The sequence below is a fragment of the Homo sapiens genome, chromosome 19 (assembly GCF_000001405.40).
Source record: "Homo sapiens chromosome 19, GRCh38.p14 Primary Assembly".
NCBI classification, from domain to species: Eukaryota; Metazoa; Chordata; class Mammalia; order Primates; family Hominidae; genus Homo; species Homo sapiens.
In genome coordinates this window covers 17,091,632-17,114,849 of record NC_000019.10, presented here as the reverse complement: position 1 = coordinate 17,114,849, position 23,218 = coordinate 17,091,632, and the positions used below count along the sequence as shown (strand labels likewise).

The following is a 23,218-nucleotide window of genomic DNA, read 5'->3' as shown; positions in this document are numbered from 1 at the left end:
CGCTGATCCTGTTTCCCGGCAGTGGTTCTTGACTTGTTTCCTGCTGGGGAGATGCTTAAAGGAGCGAGACCTGAGCCACAGCCAGCACCTGGCATAGGTTTCAAGAAGTCACCCCAGGAGGACAGGGAGGACCACAGAATCCAGGGCGCACAAACCAGCACTCTCCTGGATCAGAAAACCGGCAAACCTCTTTGATTACATTCCTTTGCAAAAAACCCCAGCAGGGAGCATGTTACTTCTCAGTGCAGGCGGAAGTCCTAAAATCAGGGACTGCGGTTTTTGGCATGGGGAGCAAGTCTTACAAACAACATTGTAAGACGTCACTCAGTGCACCTGGAAGAGCAGGCTCTTGGAAAGCCAGATCCTCACGCACCTAGGGCCGCTTCATCATCGGTGACACGAGGACATGCCTGATCGTGGGTGAGCAGTGACCGTCCCCTGGGCTCTGGGTGGGCAATGAGTGAGAGGTGAGGAGGCACACCAGTCACCTCCCCCAAGGGACGAGGGAGAACGCCGGACTGAAACTGCTTCCCGCCACGCCCAACAGCCACTCCACAATCGTGCCGAATTTGGTCGGGTTGATGTGTAACTCCAATGGCACAATGTTACCAAGAAAAAAAGAATCTACAAATATTTAGGCAGAGACCATCTGTTACAATGAAATCTATCTTGTCATACAGTTGGCCTAAAACAGCAGTTCTCAACTGGGGGGTGGTTCTGCTCCTCAGGGAACACCTGTCAACATCTGGAGACGTTTCTGGTTGTCGGGACTAGGGGCGGGGGTGCTATGGGCAACTAGTGGGCAGGGATCAGGATGCTGCTCAGTCCCCCATGATGCACAGGATGGCCTGGCCATAACGGAATGATCCAGCCCACATATCAACAGGGCAGGGGTTGGGAACTTGGGTTGGACCAGGAAGCCTGGCCTCTGTCCCCAAGGGTTTCTGACTGTGAGGTCTAAAACTGACCCTATATGATGGCTTATTCTGCTTTCTCGTCGCCTCTGGGGTTTGCCCTGCCCCGTCTCCTGCCTGCCCTGCATTCGGGCCCCAGCTCCTATCTCCTCCTCTGGGCTGCTCTGCAGACCCAGGGCCCCCAAAAACTGCTTCCCCCTACCTTTGTGCAAACATCCCGGGGAGGCCACACAGGAGAGGCAGCCAGAGATTGATTCTATCTTCGCTTCCTGTGGTGCCCGGGGTGCCCAGCTCACCCCCCTCAGGGACCTTCAGTAGCTTGCGGTCAGGGCCACATTGTACCTCCTCCTTCTGTCCTTGCACCACCCTGTCTTCCACACACGCCTGCCTGTGTGGATGGGTGACCTAGATGTTTGTGTGGATAACCATCCCGCTGTTTAGCCTTTCGGATGGCCTGGGCTAGCCTGAGTCTTGACCGCTCGCAGGGCGAGCAGGGGGGAAACTCCTGAGAGCCCTAATTCTGCCTCCTCTTTCCCCACCACAGCAGTGCGCCTACCCGAGAGGAGGACGGGCACCCAATGACCCTGGCCCTGCTTCCCCAACCCGGCCCTGGACACGCTGGCCTTCCAATCTCCCTTTGAAGTGCACCAGGCTGCTGCCCCGGACCCTCCTGAGCCCAAGCTTGCTGCCCACCCTGCTGCCCACTGACGCCCCACCTTCCTTCTCCCTCAGCCCAGCAAAGTGACAAGTGGTCTCAGAGACCCTCAGCCTCAAATACCTCTGCATTCATGTAACATAGACACAACTCAAGCCAGTGGGGGCTCCTGGACCCTTTGACAGACAGACGGGTGCTGACTGCAGGTATTGCTCTTCCTCAAACAAATGCTGGCTTCCCTTTGCTCCTCGTGACATGGGTGACTTCTGCCTTCTGAGGCCTTGGCCCCGTCCTGACCCTGAGCCTCCTCCGGTCTGTGGCCTATGCCCTGAATCTCATCCCTGAAATGCCCCCCAATGAGAGGGGAGCCACACGCCCCCTCTCAACACTTACCTCTCCTGACAAACTCACCTCCCTGTATGGCCAACAGCCAAGGGCTGGGTGAGTGCCTGGCTGGGAGGTGCCCCAGCTTGCTGTCTGTCCCTGACCCCTCTCTGACTGGGTCATGCGACAGGATGGCCTCTGAGGCCTGATGAGCCCTGGGGCTGCGGGATTCTTTGTGTGGCTGGTGCACAATTCTCCCTTGGATGCCCCATCAGCTGCTTGAACGAAGCACCCCAAACCAAATTCACCAGGACTGGCCTCCGGGCAGTTCCCCTGCAGCCATCTCTGACCCCCTCTCCTCCTCCCTTGGGACCTGTCCGTCCTCAGCTATCAGCCTCAGATCTGGCACATCCCCGCGGCTGGGGTTGCTCCCAGGACTCCCTCTCTGTCGCACTTGGGAAGCCACGTGCAAACGCTCCTGCCCGAGTCCAGGGCCCCCGCCAGCCGGCCCGTCCGCCCTGCTCCCTGAAGCCAGCCTCCCTCTGGCCACTGGCTTCTCAGCAGGCTGGGAAGAACGTGCAGATGGATGTCCCTGCTGTACCTGGACGTCCCTGCTATACCTGGGCACGCCTGCCCCCTTCTTGCTTCCTCCCACCCCGGCTCCTGGTCCCACCTGGTGTCCCTCGGTGGCTCCAGCCATTAGCACGCCCGAAGCAGCCTGCTGGAGAGGACTGCTCTCCTCCTTCCCAGGGCTCATGACAGTCTCCAGGGGATCCTCTGTGTGAGTGTCAATCCCCCCACTCCCCAACATTGTTCTTGTGGGGGACACTGATGGGGGAGGTTGGCCTGGCTGGGGCAGGGGTCCAGGAAAACCCCAACCACATACCAGCCATACAAAGGAATGAAATGCTGATACAACTGGTGGGCAGAGAAACAAATTATGGTCCATCCTCCATCCATACCGTGGAATATGATGCAGCCATGAAAAGGAAGGAAGCACTGATCCATGCTACGACGTGTATGAATCTCAAGAACATGATACCAAGTGAGAGAAGCCAGACACAAAAGGCCACAGAGTGTGAGAGATTCCATTGATCTGAAATGTCCAGAACAGGCAGATCCATAGAGACAGGAAGCAGGTTAGTGGCTGCCAGGGCCTGGGAGAGGGAAGTGGGGAGTGAATGCTGATGGGGACGGGGTCTCCTTTCAGGGGGATGGAAATGTTCTGGAACTGCATAGAGGCGACGGTTGCATACCACTGCGAGTGTACTAAATGCCACTGAATTGCACACTTTTGCCTGAGGCCAGGAGTTGGAGACCAGCCTTGGTGACATAACAAAACCCTGTCTCTACAAAAAATAAAAAAATTAGCCAGGGGTGGTGGTGTGCACCTGTATTCTCAGCTGCTTGAGAGGCTGAGGTGGGAGGATCACTTGAGGCCAGGAATTTGAGGCTGCAGATATAATTTAATTTACAGATTTATAAACTGCAGATATAATTTATACATTTATAAAATGCAGATACAATTTAATCTATATATTTATAAACTGTAGATATAAATATAAGGTATCTATTTATAAATAAGTAAATAGGTAAATTATATCTCCATAAGCTCTTAAACAGGAACCTCAACTTCAGAGGCATGAGAGTTGACACACACCTGGTTCCAGAAACTTCTATCTCTGCCACCCTTGCTGAGCAGCTCGTGTGCCTCAGTTTCCTCACATGTCAGGTGGGGGTGGTCAGTCTGCCCACATCAGGATGTGGTGAGGACGTATGAGATGACGCCCCCAATGCTGGGTGGAGGCTGGCATCCAACTGTGTCTTGCCCGACAGACTCAGGGGGAAAGGACGTGGCCCAGGCAGGTGTCCTTGAGGGCAGAGGTCGAAGTGGATAATGGCACTGTGGTCTAGGTGACCTACCCCAGTGCTGACTGTGGGTGGGGGAACAGAGCTAGTGGCCTGGCTGATGGCAGAGGGGCTGGGGGAGTTGGGGGAAACATGAGACTGGGTTTGTAGGGCCCCTAAGGAGGAGCTCAGGACCCGGTCCAGGTGGGTACGAGTCCTAGGTTCCTTTGCCCCAAGAGGGGGGTCTGGGGCAGTGGCACGTTCAGGACCCTTCCTCAGTCCCTCACTGGAATGTCCTGGGCATCGGCACAACTTCGGGTGAGCTTGGCTCCACCAGCTGGGGGCGTCCCTCTGCGCCCTGCAGCCCATCACTGTCACCGTGTCCCACTGTGGGCCGGGCCACAGGGGCTCCATGGAGTCCAGGGACCCTTGGGACAACAGCCTGACAAGCAAGGATCCTTATTTTATTTCTGCTTTCAGAATGAAAACCCCATGCACGCTGCCAGCTGCCAGCTGCACTTGCTACAGTTCAGGACAGATGAAGGGAACCCCAGCCTTTGGCCCCCTGGACTCAGCCTGCTCTCAGAAGGGCACCGAGGCGAGTGCCTGGTGGATCTGAGGCTGTGGGCAAAGGGAGAGGAGCGTGTTCTGGGTGTGCTTTGCGGCGAGACCCCATGGCCGATGCTGTAAGGTGCTCTATCCACAGCCCCTGGGCTGTCGACGGGCGCCTGCACTGGGAGGCTAGAGGCCATGTGGAAGATGGGGAGACTCATGGCTTCTGCAGCCCCTAGACTTGGTGAAAGGTGATGGCAACAGTTAACTGCAGTGGCGGGCAGATCAGCTGATTGGAACCGGCTTTCCACAGTGCTCCCTTCCTGTTTTTTGGTCAGCATTACACAGCGAGGCTGCAACCCTCGCGGGGGGCGGGGGTCAGGGGGTGCATCCAGCGACACTCAAACCTCAAAACAGCTCAACTTCTCCTTTCGGGGAGCTGAGAAAAAATCCCCAATCGATGCAGCGAGTTGTGCTGATCTCCGGCTTTCTGCAGCCCGGGCGAGAGAGGGGAGAGCAGAGAGGCAGCCTGAACGGGGGGCTGGGGCTCAGGCCGGGTTCAAACCCCGGGTTAGGCTTTGGCTCTCTGCGGTGTGGCCTGGGGAATCTACCTGCAGTGGGTTGACTTGTGGCTTCCCAAAAAAGACATGTCTAAGTCCTTACCCCCAGAACCTGTGACTGTGGCTTTATCTGGAAACGGGGTCTTGGCAGATGTCATGAAGGTAAGTATTTTGAGATGAGGTGATCCCATGAGAGAAAGGCAAGGGAGATTGGACACACACAGGGGAGAAGACCAGGTGACGACGGAGGGAGAGGGCAGAGTGATGCGGCCACAAGCCCAGAGCTCCAAGGATGGCTGAAGCCACCAGAACCCGGGAGAGAGGCCTGGGACAGATTCTCCCTCAGAGCCTCCAGAGGGACCCAGCCCTGCCCACACCTTGATTTTCAACTTCTGGCCTCCAGAACTGTGAGAGAATCAACCCCTGCTGTTTGAGGGCTCCCAGCCCGTAATACTTTGTTATAGACACCTCAGGAAACTCACACATCCACGTGTCTCTCTGGGGCTCAGTTTCCTCATCTTTAAAATGGGCAGAGCTGCCGTGAGGGATTAGAGATGATGGAGGAAAATCACGAAGCCCAAACCCTGATACCCAGTGGGCCTGAGGTCTTATTCCTCTTATTAGAAAATGATGGCCGGGCGCAGTGGCTCATGCTTGTAATCCCAGCACTTTGGGAGGCTGAGGTGGGCGGACCACGAGGTCAGGAGATCGAGACCATTCTGGCTAACACGGTGAAACCCCATCTCTACTAAAAATACAAAAAATTAGCTGGGTGTGGTGGTGAGCACCTGTAGTCCCAGCTACTCAGGAGGCTGAGGCAGGAGAATGGCACGAACCCGGGAGGCAGAACTTGCAGTGAGCCGAGATCGCGCCACTGCACTCCAGCCCGGAGACAGAGAGAAACTCTGTTTCAAAATAAATAAATAAATAAATAAATAAATAAATAAATAAATAAATAAATAAAATTAAAAAAAAGATTCTTGGGGCCAGGCATGGTGGCTCACGCCTATAATCCCAGCACTTTGGGAGGCTGAGGAGGGCAGATTACTTGAGGTCAGGAGTTTGAGACCAGCCTGGCCACTATGGTGAAACCCGTCTCTACTAAAAATACAAACATTAGCCGGGCACGGTGGTGGGCGCCTGTAGTCCCAGCTACTCGGGAGGGCTGAGGCAGGAGAATCAAACCCAGGAGGCAGAGGTTCCAGTGAGCCGAGATCGTGCCACTGCACTCCAGCCTGGGCGATAGAGCAAGACTCTATCTCAAAAAAAGAAAAAAAGAAAATGACTCTTAAGTTAGCACAGAACAGAAAGAACTCACAGATAATTTCTAAAAGCTCAGTGGCTGCAATGAACAGTGATTGGGTCTTATGGGAAGAACTCAAAGACAGCTGTTCTATTCCCAGGGGGTGATTTGTCCCCAGGGGACAACGGGAAGCTATTTTGTTAATACCTCTCTAATCAATGAAATGTCTGGGGACACTTCTGGGTGTCACACCTGCGGGGTGGGGAGTGCTCCTGGCATCTGGTGGGTGGAGGCCAGGGATGCTGCTCAATGTCCTTCAATGCACAGGATGACTCCCTCCCCAGAGAACGATCCGGCCCTGAATGTCAGCAGAGCCAGGTTGAGAAATCCAGCTCTCAGTGAAGACAATCACATCCCTTTGCAAACAGTCGCCCCAGGAAGCACGTTTATTGCCATGACGTGGATTTGGCTCAAGCCTGTTTTGGAAGCCGGCGTGGGCACCACCCTCGAGCGGCTTAGAACCGCTGGAGAAAACTGGCCTCGCCAGCCCCCGCTGCTGAGGCCCCAAGCAGGTTGGCCTGGCAGGACCGGGGGTCTGACTCACAGAGGGTGACTAATGGCTGTTGAAGGCATACTGGAGACTGTGCAGGCGTGGAGGCTGGAGGGAGCTTTGCTGGCATCCGGGGAGGAACTACCGGTCCCCAGGACAATCGCGGATCTGGGGCAGCCCTCAAGGACCCAGGCACAAGATGTCACCAAGTGGGACTTGCCAGGGGCCAGGTAGGACTTGAAGCAGACCAGGTGGGGCTGTATGGGGGATGCTGTGGGCTGACTTGAGCCCCCCGCCCCCAAAATTATATCCACATCCTCACCCCCAGAAACTGTGTATGTGACCTTATTTGGAAATAGGGTCTTTGCAAATGCAATTAGGTAGGATGAGGTCATGCCGGGGTAGGATGGGCCCTACATCCCATGAGTGGTGTCCTTGTTATAAGAAAGCCACGTGAAGACATGGACACACAGGAAGAACGCCCCTGACGACAGAGGCAGAGACTGATGTGACGTGGCCACAGGCCAGGGCACATCTGCAGCCACCAGAGAAGCTGAAGAGGCCTGAAGCATCCTCCCCCAGAGCCGGGAGGGAGTGCGGCCCCGTGGACACCTTGATTTCAGACTTCTGGCCTCCAGGACCATGAGAGCCTTAATCCCTGTTGTTGGAGACTCCCTTGCCCCTAACACTTAGCAACAGGAAACTTGTCCACGCCCTGGAGGGTCCTAGTGAGATGGCGCTGTGGAGGCAGCAACGTGGTGGGGAGGACATGGACCCTGAACTGAGACCTAGGTGGCAATCCTGCCTCCTGGCCGTGCCACTTTGAGACCCTGGGGCTGGGCGTGTCATTTCTGCGGGGCTCAGGCATTTACCCACCTGCCTAGTCCCATTTGGCAAAATGTCTGACATGGTAAATGTTGGATCTACCCTCTCATTCATTCACCTACTAAATTTTTTTTGTTATTTTTTTGAGACAGGGTCTTGCTCTGTCACCCAGGCTGGAGTGCAGTGTGTGATCACAGCTCACTGCAGTCTTGAACTTCTGGGCTCAAGCAATCCTCCCACTTCAAGCTCCTGAGAGCTGAGACCACAGGCATGCACTGCCATGCCTGGCTAATTTTTTATTTTTATTTTTAATTTTGAGACAGATTTCGCTCTTGTTGCCCAGGCTGGAGTGCAATGGTGCGATATTGGCTCACTGCAACCTCCACCTCCCAAGTTCAAGCCATTCTCCTGCCTCAGCCTCCGAAGTACCTGGGATTATAGGCGCTCGCCACCACACCTGGCTAATTTTTGTATTTTTAGTAGAGACGGGGTTTCACCATGTTTGCCAGGCTGGTCTCGAACTCTTGACCTCAGGTGATCCACCTGCCTTGGCCTCCCAAAGTGTTGGGATTACAGGCATGAGCCACTGCACCCAGCCTAGTTTTTAAACTTTTTGGTAGAGATGGGGTCTTGCAATGTTACCCAGGCTGGTCTGGAATTCCTAGGCTCACGCAATCCTCCTGACTCAGGACTCAGCCTCCTGACTCTGGGATTACAGGTGTGTGCCACACATGCTGAATTTTCAAGATCACTGTTTTATCTCGGGTGTGGATGCCAGGCACTGATGTTTTGGCCTGGAGAGCCGTTGAGCCCCCTGGCCACCTGCTGGGAGGACACTGGGGCCACTGGCAGTTTCACTGTGGCTGAGTCTCAGAGCTGGGATGACGCCAGGGCGGCCTCGGGAGACCAGAGCTGGGTTGCATCTACCTCTGCTCAGAACCTCTATAGCTCCTGTGTCACCCAGAGTCTTCCCCGAGTTCTACCTGGGGAGAATTTTGTGTTGACTTTGGCCACCACATAGCCCAGCACCTATATCATAGCCTGCCACACAGCAAATGCTCACACAGCAATGAACGGGCGGTCTGGGTATATAATGTAATGCACACAAGACAAGCCATATTAAAAACAGCTGAGGTGGGAGGATCACTGGAAGCCAGGAGTTCGAGACCAGCCTGGAGAACATAGTAAGACTGTGTCTCTACAGAAAATTTAAAAATTAGCCGGGCATGGTGGTGCACACCTGGAATTCCAGCTACTTGGGTGGGAGGATCGCTTGAGCCCAGAAGTTCTCGAGGCTGCGGTGAGTTATGATTGTGCCACTGCACTCCATTCTAGGTAACGGAGAGAGACCCTGACAAGAAAGGAATAGAGGAGAGGCGAGGAGAGGGGAGGGGAGAGGAGGGGAGGGGAGGGGATGGGAAAGGAAAGAAAATGGACATTCTATGGTGAAATTGCTCAGCAGTTTTATTAAAAGCTGATGTAAACAATGACAATGAATCTCTGTGTTACTTGCACAGGAGAAAACAGGAATAGGCTACATATGTCGGACCAGGGCTAAGTTGTATGACCCCAATTAATGTCTTACTGATGACCTCAGAGAGGAAGAGGAACTGAAATGTATTCCTAGGCACTGCTTAGATGTGATTTCAGTGAATTTGCATGGCAGCCCTCAGCTTGTGGGGACTAACAAGAGGCGAGAGGTCAAGGCTCCAGAAAGGGTGGGGTCTGACCCTGCCCCCAACTCCCTCTCTCCACTGAGGGGGCTCTCAGGATCCTACGTGTGAAGAAACTGACACATTCATATAATGAGCTACAATTCAGCAAAAGAAATGAGCTCTCAAGCCACGAAAAGACATGGAGGAATCTCCTCTCCCCTTTTTTTGGGGGACAGGGTCTCGCTCTGTCACCTAGGCTGGAGTGCAGTGGCCAGACGTTGGCTCACTGCAGCCTCAACCTCCCGGGCTCAAGCGATTCTCCTGCCTCAGACTCCCACGTAGGGGGGACCACAGGCAAACACCACCACACCTGGCTAATTTTTTTTTTTTTTTTTTTTTTTTTTGGTAGAGACAGGGTCTTGTTATGTTGCCCAGGCTGATCTGGAACTCCTGGGCTCAAGTGATCCTCCTGCCTCGGCCTCCCAGTGCACTGGGATTATGTAAGCCACCGTGCCCAACTGACATGCAGGAACCTTAAATGCTGGTTGTGAAGTGGAAGAAGCCAGTCTGAAAAGCCTGCAACACTGGGACTCCAACTACAGACAGCCTGGAAAAGACAGAACTGTGGAGGCAGTGAGAAGAGCTGTGGCTGCCAAAGGTCATGGAGGGATGAACAGGGGGAGCATGGAGGAATTTTAGGGCAGTGACACCACTCTGTGACACTCCAACGGCAGACACATTCATTATACTTTTGTCCAAACTCAAAGAATGTGCAACACCAAGAACCCTAATGGAAACTATGGCTGTTAGTAACAGTACCAACGTAGAGTTGAGTCAGGTGCAACCAACACACCACACGAATGCAAAATATAAATAATGTGAGAACCTGGGCGTGGGAGGGGTACATGGGAACTCTCTGCACTATCTGCTCGGTATTTTTATAAACCTAAAACTGCTCTAAAACAACCAATCTGTTTTTTTGTTTTTTTTTTAAGCGGAGCTGGGTACAGTGGTTCACGCCTATAATCCCAGCATTTTGGGAGGCCAAGGTGGGAGGATCATTGGCATCCAGGAGTTCGAGACCAGCCTGGGGAATACAGTGAGACCCCCATCTCTACAAAAAATAAAATAAAAATGAAAAAAAGGCAGATCCCACACCCAGAGGTGCAGACCCCTGAGGCCACACGCTGCCCCTGGCCCTCACCAGGTGGCGATGGTTGCGTTGTTCTGAGACATGTGGATGCACCTTGTCCTACAATCCCTGCAATGATGGGTGCTGTGTGGTCACCTCTGTAGCCCTGTGGCCACAAGACTCACCCACAGTGGCACATCGAGGGCTCCTGTGGGGTTTGGCTGATCAGGGCAATGAACAGTGGGCAGAGGGCATGAGGCATAAGAGCCTGGGTTGGTCCCTTCTCTGCTGCCTCTACAGTGAAACTAGGCAGCCCCCTCCCCGACAATGCTTCGCCATCCCCTTAACCCCCAGGCCTGCCGTACGCCTTGCTGGCTTCCTTCCACCCTGCTGGTCCCCCTAGAAATGTCCCGTTGTGAAGCACTCCTCAAACTGGTTTGAATACACCAGCCTTTTCTTTCAGGCACCTTGAGAATGAATGGCCATGTTCTGGAAGCCAAATGTGTATTAACTGTGACTATTTTTTTTTTTTTTTTGAGATGGAGTTTCGCTCTGTCACCCAGGCTGGAGTGCAGTGAAGCGATCTTGGCTCACTGCAACCTCCACCTACCGGGTTCAAGCGATTCTCCTGCCTCAGCCTCCCGAGTAGCTGGGATTACAGGCACACACCATCATGCCTGGCTAATTTTTATATTTTTAGTAGAAACGAGGTTTCATCATGTTGGCCAGGCTGGTCTCAAAGTCCTGACCTCCCGTGATCCACCTGCCTCAGCCTCCCAAAGTGTTGGGATTACAGGTGTGAGCCACCGCGCCCAGTGACTTATTTTCTGTATTTCTGATGCTCTGACATCTGGGGCCTGGCTGACCCCAGGGAGACGGCCCTTCCCAATTCCTAGATTGATTCTAGCCAGTTCCTAGAGATGGTTTGGGACTTGCCTTCCATATGCAAACCAACCAGTCCAGAGCCTACACCCCAGCCACCTCCTCTCTGGGACTCTCACACTCCAGCCCACTATCCCCTGCCCTCATCACCCCAGGCCCTGGCACCTGACAACAAGGGGCAGCCCCTATGCCCCAGAGCCCATTGAAATAATTCAAACAAGCCAATCCTAAGCCAGCTTACTCTGCCTAGCACATTCTGATGCATGAAAATCACAATAAAGTTTCCTGCCTCTCCCCGCTCCCTTTTTCCCTCTCTCCCTCAGCCTCCTGATGAGTCCCAGTGCTTCCCCCTGTGGCCTTCCATGGCATTGCATCCTCTTCTTTCGGGAACTGTGAGTAACAAACTCTCTTTCCAAGAGGCAGTTGCATCCTGACCAGTTGGCTTCGCAGTACCTGAATAATAACAACAATCAGAAAACCTCCACTTTTTCTCTCTTTAGAGGCAGGGTCTGTCTCTGTTGCCCAGGCTGGAGTGCAGTAGTGCAATCATAGCTCCAACTCGTGGGCTCAAGCGATCCTCCCGCCTTAGCCTCTCCAATAGCTGGGACAACAAATGTGTGCCACCGCACTTCGGTAATCTTTTTTTTTTTTTTTTTGTAGAGAGGGGGCCTTGCTGTGTTGACCAGGCTGATGTTGAATTCCTGGGCTCAAGCGATCCTCTTGCCTCAGCCTCTCAAAAACCACTGGGGTTATAGACATGAGCCACCACACCCAGCCTGAAATTTCTTTCTTTTTTTTTTTTTGAGATGGAGTCTCTCTCTGTCATCCAGGCTGGAGTGCAGTGGCATGATCATAGCTCACTGAAGCCTCGAACTCCTGGGCTCAAGTGATCCTCCTGCCTCAGCCTCCTGAGCAGCTGGGACTACAGGTGAGCACTACTATGCCTGCCTGGCTAATTATTTTTTTTTTTTTGTAGAGAAAAGATCTTGCTATGTTGCCCAGGCTGATCTTGAACTCCTGGGCTCAAGCAATCCTCCTCCCTCAGCCTTCCAAAGCATTGGGATTATAGATGTGGGCCACCGAGCTTGGCCTGAAACCCGCATTTTCCAAACAAATGCCCCCTCCCACAGACCGACCAGCTTCCCCGCTCACCTCCAGCACAGGGCCAGCACCCAGGATGGTCCTCTCGACGCCGCTGGCGTAGCCCTTCTGGCTGAGGGCGGTGAGGCAGTGGATGAGGAAGTTGGTGCTCTGGGTCTTGCCGGAGCCGCTCTCACCCGAGATCACGATGCACTGGTTCACGCGCTTCCTGAGCATGGTGTAGTAGGCCACGTCGGCCAGCGCGAAGACGTGTGGCTCCAGCTTGCCCAGCTGCTGGTTCTCATACATCTTCACGTACTTGGGGTTGTAGATGGGCAGGAACTTAAAGGGGTTGATGGCCACCAGGATGCTCCCCGCGTACGTGTAGATCTTTTGTTGCAGGAAGCGGTGCTTGAGGTTCTTCAGGAGGTTGCCCTCGGTTAGCTCGGGGAGGTTACACAGGTCATCAAAGTCCGCCTGCTGCCGTGGCAGGAGGCCACGCTCCACTAGGCGCCGGGTGGCTGTGGCCTGCGCCACCAGCTGCATATGCACGTACTTGATGGTTCCATCTGCGTTGCGCTCCTGCAGCAGGAAGTAGTAGCCATCCTCCTGAGGGTGCTCGTCCTGTGCCCGCCGGGGCCATAGCAGCACCCGGTGCACAGGCGAGTCGTTGGCGTCCAGCACCCATTCCTCGCCTCCCGACTCTTTGACCTCCACCAGCACATAACATTTGGTGCCGTCCAGCCGCAGGCTGGCAATGGCGTCCTTGATGACGTCCGAGGTGGTGCTGTCCTTGGTGGCAGTCACGCGGCACGAGGCCTGGCTCTCGGTGGTGGACAGCTGGGGGTAGATGTGCAGGTGGTAGGCCGCCTGCTCCCGGCGGCCCGAGCTGCCTGCCTCTTTCACACTCATCCTGCCGGCCGCCTGGCTTCAGCATGCCTCCCAGGCTCGGGGCGCGCGTGTCCTGGAGCTAGAAGGGAGGTCAGAGCCAGGCATGGTCAGAATGGTGGGAGGAAGTTTAAGGGGCATGTGGAGTCCCACTCCTGGGCAGATAGCACCTGACCCGATGCTGGAGTTCCCCACCCGACTAGGCTCGCCCAAAAAGCCAGAGGCAACCAGTCACGACATCCCGTGAGGGTCTGTCTGTCCTTCAATGTGACCTCAGGCTCCTGCAGTGGCTCATGCTTATAATCCCAACACTTTAGGAGGCCAAGGTGGGAGGATCGCTTGAGGCCAGGAGTTTGAGACCAGCCTGGGCAACATAGCGAGACCCCGTCTCTACAAAAAATAAAGGCATAGTGGTGCTCGCCTGTGGTCCCAGCTCCTCAGGAGGCTGAGATGGGAGGATCACTTGAACCCAGGAGATCGAGGCTGCAGTGAGCCATGATTATACCAGCTGTGCTCCAGCCTGGGTGAGAGAGAGAGACCCTGTCACTTAAAAAAAAATACAGTGGCTTTTACAAGTGACATCATCAGACAACCCCAAGACCTGACCCTTCCCCTGAGTTTGCTCCATCCCAGCCCCCATCCCACCCCATCCAGAGGCAGCCTCTCAATCCTGAAGCCCAACAAGCCATGACCCTCTTTCTGCTATGCCCTTCCCAGCCCACATCCTTCCTGACCTCATCTCTGAATAAACCTCCCCAGCAGCTCCCCAAGCAGAAGACGACTCGGCCCCACAGGCCTTGGCCACACAGCAGTAACAGCGAGAGGCATGTGGGGATGAGCAAGACTGAACCTGTCCTGAAATTTGGGATTCCCAAAACTCCAGGGTCCTTGAAACCCAACCTAGGAAGATGAAGTCCGGGAGAGCCACGAAAAATGCACTCGGGAATGGCCTAGAGTGTGGTTGCTTCTGAAGCCACAACTCCAGACTACTGGGGAGAAGAACATCAGGCAGGCCCAGGCTGGGGGCATCCTGCAGGAATATGGCTGGTGGTCCCAAGACTGCCAAGGTCACGGGCAACAAGGAAAGACTGAGGAGCTAGCTGTCCAAGACCACAGGAGATTCTCAATGCGATAGGACTCCCTGGAAAGGATCCTCTACCAGAGAGAGGGCTTGAATGGAAGAGCTAGTGACACCAGAAGCACACCAGGAAGGTGGTAAGTAGCAGTCTGCCAATACCAATTTCTTTTCTTTTTCTTTTTTTGTTTTTGAGATAAGAGTCTCGTGCTGTCGCCCAGGCTAGAGTGCAGTGGTGTGATCTCGGCTCACTGCAACCTCTGCTGCCTGGGTTCAAGCAATTCTTCTGCCTCAGCCTCCTGAGTAGCTGGGACTATAGGCATGCGCCACCACACCCGGCTAATTTTTGTATTTTTTTAAGTAGAGATGGGGTTTTGCCATGTTGGCCAGGCTGGTCTCAAACTCCTGACCTCAGGTGATGTGCCAACCTCGACTTCCCTAAGTGCTGGGATTAGAGGGGTGAGCCACCACGCCTGGCCTACAAGTGCAGGTTTCTTATACACATATATCGTGTAGTGGTGAAGTCTGGGCTTTTTTTTTTTTGAGATGGAGTTTCGCTCTTTGTTGCCCAGGCTCTAGTGCAGTGGCATGATGTCGGCTCACTGCAACCTCCACCTCCTGGGTTCAAGCGATTCTCCTGTCTCAGCCTCCCAAGTAGCTGGGATTACAGGCACCCCGCCACCACGCCCGGCTAATTTTTTTTGTATTTTTAGCATAGACAGGGTTTCACTATGTTGGCCAGGCTGGTCTCGAACTCCTGACCTCAGGTGATCCATCCTCCTCGGCCTCCCAAAGTGCTGGGATTACAGACATGAGCTACCGCACCCGGCCTTTTTTTTTTTTTTTTTTTTAAGACAGTCTCGCTTTTTCACCCAGGCCGGACTGCAGTGGCGCTATCTTGGCTCACTGCAAGCTCCGCCTCCCGGGTTCACGCCATTCTCCTGCCTCAGCCTCTCGAGTAGCTGAGACAACAGGCGCCCGCCACCGCGCCTGGCTAATTTTTTTTTGTATTTTTAGTAGAGATGGAGTTTCACCATGTTAGCCAGGATGGTCTCTATCTCCTGACCTCGTGATCCACCCGCTTCGGGCTTCCAAAGTGCTCTCATTATGTTGGCTAGGTGGCCTTGAACTCCTAAGCTCAAACGATCCTCCCGCCTTGGCCTCCCAAAGTGCTAGGATTACAGGAGTGAGCCACTGCGCCAGGCCAATCTGGGCTTTTGGGATACACATTGCCTGAATAGTGAACATCGTACCCAACGGGAAATTTGTTCACCCTCACCCTCCTCCCCCCATCACCTTCTGCAGTCCCCAATAACTATTCTGCTCTGTTATGTCCACGTATATAGATTGTTTAGCTCCCCAAAATTCACCCTCTTCATTTTTTTTTTTTTCTTGAGATGGAGTCTCACTCTATCACCATGCTGGAGTCCAGTGGCGGATCTCGGCTCACTGCAACCTCTGCCTCCCGGGTTCAAGTGATTCTCCTGCCTCAGCCTCCCGAGTAGCTGGGACTACAGGCGCCCACCACCATGCCCAACTAATTTTTGTATTTTTAGTAGAGACGGGGTTTCACCATGTTGGCCAGGATGGTCTCAATCTCTTGACCTTGTGATCCACCCACTTCGGCTTCCCAAAGTGCTGGGATTACAGGTGTGAGCCACTGCACCTAGCCCTTTTTTTTTTTTTTCCTAAGAGAGAGGGTCGCCCAGTTTCTTCTTCTTTTTTTTTTTTTTGTCAGGGTCTTGCTCTACTTCCCAGGCTGGGGTGCATTGGCATGATCACGGCTCACTGCAGACTTGATCTCCCTGGGCTCATGTGATCCTCTCACCTCTGCCTCACAAGTAGCTGGGACTATAGGTGCACACCACGATGCATGCTGGCTAATGTTTCTGTATTTTCTGTAGAGATGGGGGCCTCACTATATTGCCCAGGTTGTTGTCAAACTCCTGGGCTCAAATGATCCACCTGCCTAGGCCCCCTAGAGTGCTGAGATTATAGGGATGAGTGACTGTGCCCGGCCAAGTTTATTCCTAAAAAGTGCATTTGCTTCTGAAGGTTGCAAGAAAAAGAAATGCTGGTGCCAGCCCACCTAGGGGCTTGGATCAAGAGCCATAAATGCGGCATGAGTCAACCAAGAATGGCTGAGGGTGTGAAGATGAGGCCCAAAGCCAGGCAGGAGAGACTGGTATGCAAACAGACGTGAGTGTAGACGTGAATCCAGCGCAGCAGTTAAAAGACACACAGCAGGAGTGATTATCCTAAAGGACAAGAGAAGACATTAGGGGAGTAGGAATATCTAAGAGGGGTTCTAAGACCAGGCGCGGTCGCTCACGCTTGTAATCCGAGCACTTTGGGAGGCCAAGGCGGGTGGACTGCTTGAGGTCAGGAGTTCAAGACCAGCCTGACCAACATGGTGAAACCCTGTCTGTACTAAAAATACAAAAATTAGCCGGGCACGGTGGTGGGTGCCTGTAATCCCAGCTACTTGGGAGGCTGAGGCAGGAGAATCGCTTGAATCTGGGAGGTGAAGGTTGTAGCGAGCCGCAATCATGCCACTGCATTCTGGCCTGGGCGACAGAGTGAGACTCCATCGTGAAGAAAAAAAAGGTGGGGGGGGGGGGTTCTGAAGGATGAAGAGGAGTTCGTTCACGAGGTGAGTAGAAGAATAAAGGATGGTACAATAGGCCCACCACCTGTTTTTATAAATAAAGTTTTACTGGAAGGCAGCCTTGCCCACACTCCTTTCCTTATTGTCTGTGGCTGCTTTTGCTACAAGAGCAGAGTGAAATAGTTCAGGCACAGACTGTAATATTACAGCCTGGAAAGCCTAAAATATTTACTATCCAGCCCTTCAAAGCAAAGGTTTGCTGACCTCTGCCCTAAAGAGAAGCATGACTCAGCACTGTGACTGAGTGGGGTCAGGGCCACTAGAGGCTCTGAGAATTCCTGCAGAAGTGTTAGAAGGGCTGAGGCTGAAAGAAACGATAACTTATGAGGCCGAGGCAACAGTTCACACAGGGATAGGGAGTGGCGACAGGGAAGAAGGCTGGGGGACACACAAGATTTAACTCTTAAAACTTTCCCCCAGGTTAGTAAGTAACTGTCATGTTTTCTCCCAGGGAAATAGATATATACTGTATAGTTTAATAAATTTTGGATTGTCTTATCCATTTAGCTGTAAAACCTAATTCTTTCCTTGATATGTCAGTGCATTTGTATGTTCCTCCAGGTCATGAGATAAAGCTTTGAGAGCCTGGTTTATTTTTATTTTTATTTTTATTTTTACTATCTAAGATACAGCTTGAGCAACAGGGCGAGATGCTGTTTTTTTTTTTTTAATTTTTTTGAAATGGAGTCTCGCTTTATCACCCAGGCTAGAGCACAGTGCTGTGATCTTGGCTCACTGCAACCTCCGCCTGTTGGGCTGAACCAACTCTACTGCCTCAGCCTCCTGAGTAGCTGGGATTACAGGGGCCCACCACCATGCCCGGCTAATTTTGTGTTTTTAGTAGAGACAGTGTTTCTCTGTTTTAGTAGAGACAGCCATGTTGACTAGGCTGGTCTCGAACTCCTGACTTCAAGTGATCCACCCGCCTCGGCCTCCCAAAGTGCTGGGATTTACAAGCGTGAGCCACCACACCTGGCAGAGACTCTATTTCTTAAAAACAGCAACAACAGGCCGGGCGTGGTGGCTCACGCCTGTAATCCCAGCATTTTGGGAAGCAGAGGCGGGCGGATCACGAGGTCAGATCGAGACCATGGTGAAACCCCATCTCTACTAAAAATACAAAAAATTAGCTGGGCGCAGTGGCGGGCGCCTGTAGTCCCAGCTACTCGGGAGGCTGAGGCAGGAGAATGGCGTGAACCCGGAAGGCGGAGCTTGCAGTGAGCTGAGATCATGCCACTGCACTCCAGCCTGGGCGACAGAGCGAGACTCCGTCTCCAAAAAAAAAAAAAAAACCAACAACAACAACAACAACAACAACAACAACAACAACAACAAACTATCTGAACGAGGCAGCTCATCTGCTTTTTTATTTTTTGAGACAGGGTCTCACTCTGTCACTCAGTCTGGAATGCAGTGGCATGATCTCAGCTCACTGCAGCCTCGACCTCCTGGGCTCAAGTGATCCTCTGACTGTACCACCATGCCCAGCTAATTTTTGTATTTTTTTTTTTGCAGAGAGGGGGTTTTGCCATGTTGCCCAGGCTGGTCTGGAACTCCACCTGCCTTGACCTCCCAAAGTCCTGGGATTACAGGCATGAGCCACTGTGCCTGGCCCTCATCTGCTTTAGAAAACACTTCAGCAGTTTCTTTCAATGTTAAAACACATACCTAGCACGTGACCCTGCAATTCCCCTCTCAGGAGTTACTCAGGAGAAATGAAGCAGATGTCGAGACAGAGACGTGTAACTTCTGAGAGTCCCAAACTGAGAACCCAAATGTCCACCCACCGAATGAACACACTGACCACACCATGGAATATGGTTCAACAATGAGAAGGAACCAACGAGTTCAGGATGGCTGGTTCCTGATGCTCACAGTGATAGGAAACCAATTCAGAATTGTTGGGCTGAGTGAAAGAAGCCTGACAAGGCCAGTGCGGTGGCTTATGCCTGTAATCCCAGCATTTTGGGAGGCCGAGGCGGGCAGATCATGAGGTCAGGAGATCGAGACCATTCCGGCTAACACGGTGAAACCCCTTCTCTACTAAAAATACAAAACCAAAAAAAAATTCGCCAGGCGTGGTGGGGGGGCGCATGTAGTCCCAGCTACTTAGGAGGCTGAGGCGGGAGAATGGTGTGAATCCAGGAGGCGGAGCTTGCACTGAGCCTAGATCGCGCCACTGCACTCCAGCCTGGGTGAAAGAGCGAGACTCCGTCTCAAAAAAAAGAAGAAGCCTGACAAAAGAGATTACATAACTACATACAGACGTAGCAATTCTGCTCCCAGGTATAGACCCAAAAGAATAGAAAGCAGCGACTCAATTCCTTGTACACCAATGTCCACTGCAGCTCTATTCACAATAGCCGAAAGGTGGAAACAACCCCATGTCCATCGGCAGATGAATGCATACACAAAACGTGGTCCATCCACACAACGGAGTATGATTCAGCCATAAAAAGGAAGGAACCACTGCTCCGTGCTACAACATGGATGAACCCCAAAAACATGAAGCTGAGAGAAGCCAGACGCAAAAAAGCCACATGGTGTATGATTCCATTGATATGAAATGTCCAGAACAGGCAAATCCATAGAGACAGGAAGCAGATTGGTGGTTGCCAGGGACTCCGGGAGGGGGAATAGGGAGTGACTGCTCATGGGGACCGCGTTTCCTTTTAAGGGGATGAAAATGTTCTGGAATCAGATAGAGCTGGTCGTTGCACAACACGGTGAATGCACTGACTAGCACACTTAATTTTTTTTTCTTTTTTGAGACACAGTCTTGCACTCCATTGCAGTGCTGCGACCCTGGCTCACTGTAACCTTCACGTCCTGGGTTCAAGCGATTCTCCTGCCTCAGCCTCCCTTCCAATCTCAGGGGATTACAGGCATCCGCCACCACACCGAGCTAATTTTTCTATTTTTGGTAGAGACAGAGTTTCGCCATGTTGGCCAGGCTGGTCTGGAACTCCTGACTTCAAGTGATCTGCCCACCTCAGCCTCCCAAAGTGCTGGAATTACAGGCATGAGCCACTGCGCCTGGCCAAATTTTTATTTTTGAGACTGGATCTCATTCTGTTGCCCAGGCTGGAGTCCAGTGGTGCAATTGTGGCTCACTGCAGTCTCAACCTCCCCTGGCTCAAGCAAACCTCTCACCTCAGCCTCCTGAGCAGCTGGGACTACAGGCACATGCCACCACGCCTGCCTAATTTTTGTATTTTTAGTAGAGACTGGGTTTCATCATGTTGCCCAGGCTGGTCTCAAACTCCTGGGCTCAAGCATTCTGCCTGTATCAGCCTCCCAAAGTGCTGGGATTACAGGTTTAAGCTACCACACCCAGCCAAATTACACACTTTAGATGGTGAATTTTACCTTTTGTGACTTTTCCTTAATTAAGTTTTAAAAAGAGCCTATACTGTATGATTCCATGTATATAACATTCTAGAAAATGCAAATTGACCTATGAAGACAGAAAGCTGATCGGTGGCTGCTTGGGGATGTGGAGTGGGGAGGGATGCCAAGAGGCCTGAGGACACTTTTCAGATGATGGATGTGTTTATGGCATTGGTCGTGGTGGTGGGCTCATGGCTGTTGGCACACTGAGTAAGTGCAGCCTATTATGCAACAATTTCACCTGGATAAAACTGCTTAAAAAGGCCAGGTGCTTGGCCGAGCGTGGTGGCTCACGCCTGTAATTCCAGTACTTTGAGAGGCCAAGGTGGGCAGATCACCTGAGGTTGGGAGTTCGAGACCAGCCTGACCAACATGGAGAAATCCCGTCTCTACTAAAAATACAAAATTAGCCAGGCATGGTGGCGCATGCCTGTAATCCCAGCTACTCGGGAGGCTGAGGCAGGAGAATCCCTTGAACTCGGGAGGTGGAGATTGCAGTGTGCCGAGATTGCGCCATTGCACTCCAGCCCGGGGAACAGAGCAAAACTCCGTCTTAACAACAACAACAACAACAACAACAACAACAACAACAAAGCCAGCTGCAGTGGCTCATGCCTACAATCCTAGCACTTTGGGAGGCTGAGGAGGGCAGATTGCTTGAGCCAAGGAATTTGACACCAGCCTGGGCCACACAACTAGGTAACTCTACAAAGTAAATAAATAAATAAATAAATAAATAAATAAATAAATTAGCTGGGCATAGTGGCACACACCTTTAGTCCCAGCTACTTGGGAGGCTGAGGTGGCAGGACTACTTGAGCCCAGCGGGTGGAGGCTGCAGTGAGCAGTGACTGCACTACTGCACCGCAGCCTGGGCCACAGGGCAAGAACCTATCTCAAACCACCCCCCCCCCCACCCCCCGCAAAAAAACTGCTTTAAAAATTACATGGATTTAAAAGATCCCATTTCCCCAGGAGTTTATCTTTCTAAAACTTCTTACTCTGTATTCAAAAGTTCAGCCCTTGAGCCCAGGCACAGTTCCTCAGACACCACAGCAGGGAGATGGTCGGAAATCTAAAGGTACGTCAGGTTCCCAGGTGCCACATGGTATCGCTCACCTGGTCGTCCCAGGACGCCACGAGAGTTAATCATGGAATGTTCCCAGGCAGCTCCACAGGGCCAAGGAAGATGGACAGAGGTTTACGCACTTCTAATCCAGGTAAGGAATACAGGAGCCCAAACCGAAGATATATGTCTTTTTCTTTTTTTTTTTTTGAAATGGGAGTTTCACTCTTGTTGCCCAGGCTGGAGTGCAGTGGCACGATCTTGGCTCACTGCACCTCTGCCTCCAGGTTCAAGCCATTTTCCTGCCTCAGCCTCCCAAGTAGTTGGGATTACAGGCGTGCACCACCACGCCCAGCTAATTTTTTGTATTTTTGGTTGAGACAGGGTTTCACCATGTTGGTCAGGCTGGTCTCCAACTCCTGACCTCAGGTGATCCGCCCACCTCAGCCTCCCAAAGTGCCAGGATTACAGGTGTGAGCCACAGTGCCTGGCCAAGATACATGTCTTAATCACACATGCATGAATGTGTGTGTGCACTGGCATATGTACTTCCATGTGCTTGCATGTACACAGAGGAAACACATGTGAATACACACACTTCTGTGCATACAGTATACAAACATGAACACACCTCTGTGAACACAACATAGGACACACCCATGCTCATATAAACACAGCACACACATGGACACACTATGCACACACATGCTTGTACACATAGTCATATGCTTGTATACACACTCACATGCATGCACATGCATACAAGGACACAGGTATGAAAAAACATATGTGCAAGCGCTTTTTTTTTTTTTTTTTTTTTGACGGAGCCTTGCTCTGTCACCCAGGCTGGAATGCAGCGGTGCGATCTCAGCTCACTGCAACCTCTGCCTACTGGGTTCAAGAGATTCTCGTGCTTCAGCCTCCCATGTAGCTGGGATATAGGCGTGCATCACCACGTCTGGCTAATTTTTGTACTTTTAATAGAGACAGGGCTTTGCCATGTTGGCCAGGCTGGTCTCCAACTTCTAGCCTCAAGTGATCCAGCCGCCTCGCCCAGCATATACTTCCATATGAACACTCATGCACACACATGTGCCCAGCCACACGTATATGCTTGTACACAAAACACTTGCATGCACATGTCCACCCACATGTTCATGCCTACATACATGCGTACACCTGTGTATGTGCACACAGCGAGGCCTGGGCAGAGTTGGCCCGTCCTGTGACGTTCACTTTTGTGACCAGGGGCTCAGTGCAGCTCCCAGCTGGCGGGCTTTGGGCTGACTTATGGCTGAGCTGCCTGGATGTAGGCGACGCAAAACTCACTGGGATATGCCTACTTCCTCCTTCACAGCAGAGAGCAGCTCTGAGCGAGAAGCCAGGAGAACCCAAGGATGGGCTCTTTCTTCTGCTCCCGGCAGCCTCTGCCACCCACTGAGGGGACGGCTGATGCTAGCTCATGGAATCACAAGGGCTGAAGGCCACATGGACGGCTGCACTTGAGACTGCTCCGTGTCCTCCAGGGACTGCTGATGGAGCACCAGGAGCCCTCTGAGCCCTGCTGGGAACAAAGCCTGTGGGGGCTTCTGCAGCTCTGGGCCCCTGGTGTGCGGGGCAGAAGGGCAGACTCTCAGGAAACCCCACTCTCAGAGATGGGGCTGAAGGGGACGGTCACAGGACTGGCAGATGCGTGCCCCGCCCCCAGGCCAGGAGGAAGTGGATAAGGGCTTGCTCAAGGCGGCTGCTGAGCAGCCAGGGCTGCAGGGAAGGGGGTAGCCCTAGAAGGGACATCCCTCCCTGGGAGTGGGATGGGGGTGGTGGGAGCAGAAACTAGCTGGGACCACAAGCTGGCGTGCCCCCTGCAAGGCTCATCGGCCTGGTCCTCTCCTGCTCCCACAGGTGGGACCA

The 23,218-nt window shown here is 52.7% G+C and overlaps 1 protein-coding gene and 1 non-coding gene across 3 annotated transcripts in view, besides 5 other annotated features; both read right to left on the bottom strand.

Annotated features, from left to right (window-relative positions):
• The window catches only part of MYO9B (myosin IXB), a 137,510-nt gene that overhangs the window by 98,437 nt on the left and 15,855 nt on the right, over nucleotides 1-23,218 (bottom strand). For both annotated transcript variants that reach the window (NM_001130065.2, NM_004145.4), the window contains exon 2: nucleotides 12,293-13,190. In NM_001130065.2, the coding sequence (NP_001123537.1) occupies nucleotides 12,293-13,132 (840 nt within the window). In that variant the 5' untranslated portion in view covers nucleotides 13,133-13,190. The remainder of the gene's footprint in view (nucleotides 1-12,292; nucleotides 13,191-23,218) is intronic.
• Nucleotides 3,944-4,445: an enhancer, noted in NCBI's record as "H3K4me1 hESC enhancer chr19:17221215-17221716 (GRCh37/hg19 assembly coordinates)". NCBI's record gives its function as "activates a minimal SCP1, AML or CMV promoter by ChIP-STARR-seq in naive H9 embryonic stem cells {active_cell/tissue: H9 hESC(naive)}" and the evidence as "EXISTENCE:reporter gene assay evidence [ECO:0000049][PMID:30033119]".
• Nucleotides 3,944-4,518: a biological region, named in NCBI's record as "H3K4me1 hESC enhancer GRCh37_chr19:17221215-17221716".
• Nucleotides 4,409-4,518: an enhancer, noted in NCBI's record as "active region_14256". NCBI's record gives its function as "activates an Ori minimal core promoter by ATAC-STARR-seq in GM12878 lymphoblastoid cells {active_cell/tissue: GM12878}" and the evidence as "EXISTENCE:reporter gene assay evidence [ECO:0000049][PMID:35858748]".
• Nucleotides 6,551-6,600: an enhancer, noted in NCBI's record as "active region_14255". NCBI's record gives its function as "activates an Ori minimal core promoter by ATAC-STARR-seq in GM12878 lymphoblastoid cells {active_cell/tissue: GM12878}" and the evidence as "EXISTENCE:reporter gene assay evidence [ECO:0000049][PMID:35858748]".
• Nucleotides 10,662-10,711: an enhancer, noted in NCBI's record as "active region_14254". NCBI's record gives its function as "activates an Ori minimal core promoter by ATAC-STARR-seq in GM12878 lymphoblastoid cells {active_cell/tissue: GM12878}" and the evidence as "EXISTENCE:reporter gene assay evidence [ECO:0000049][PMID:35858748]".
• SNORA118 (small nucleolar RNA, H/ACA box 118) lies at nucleotides 22,485-22,615 on the bottom strand. The gene has a single exon (NR_145784.2). It is a non-coding gene; the product is annotated as a small nucleolar RNA, H/ACA box 118 (small nucleolar RNA).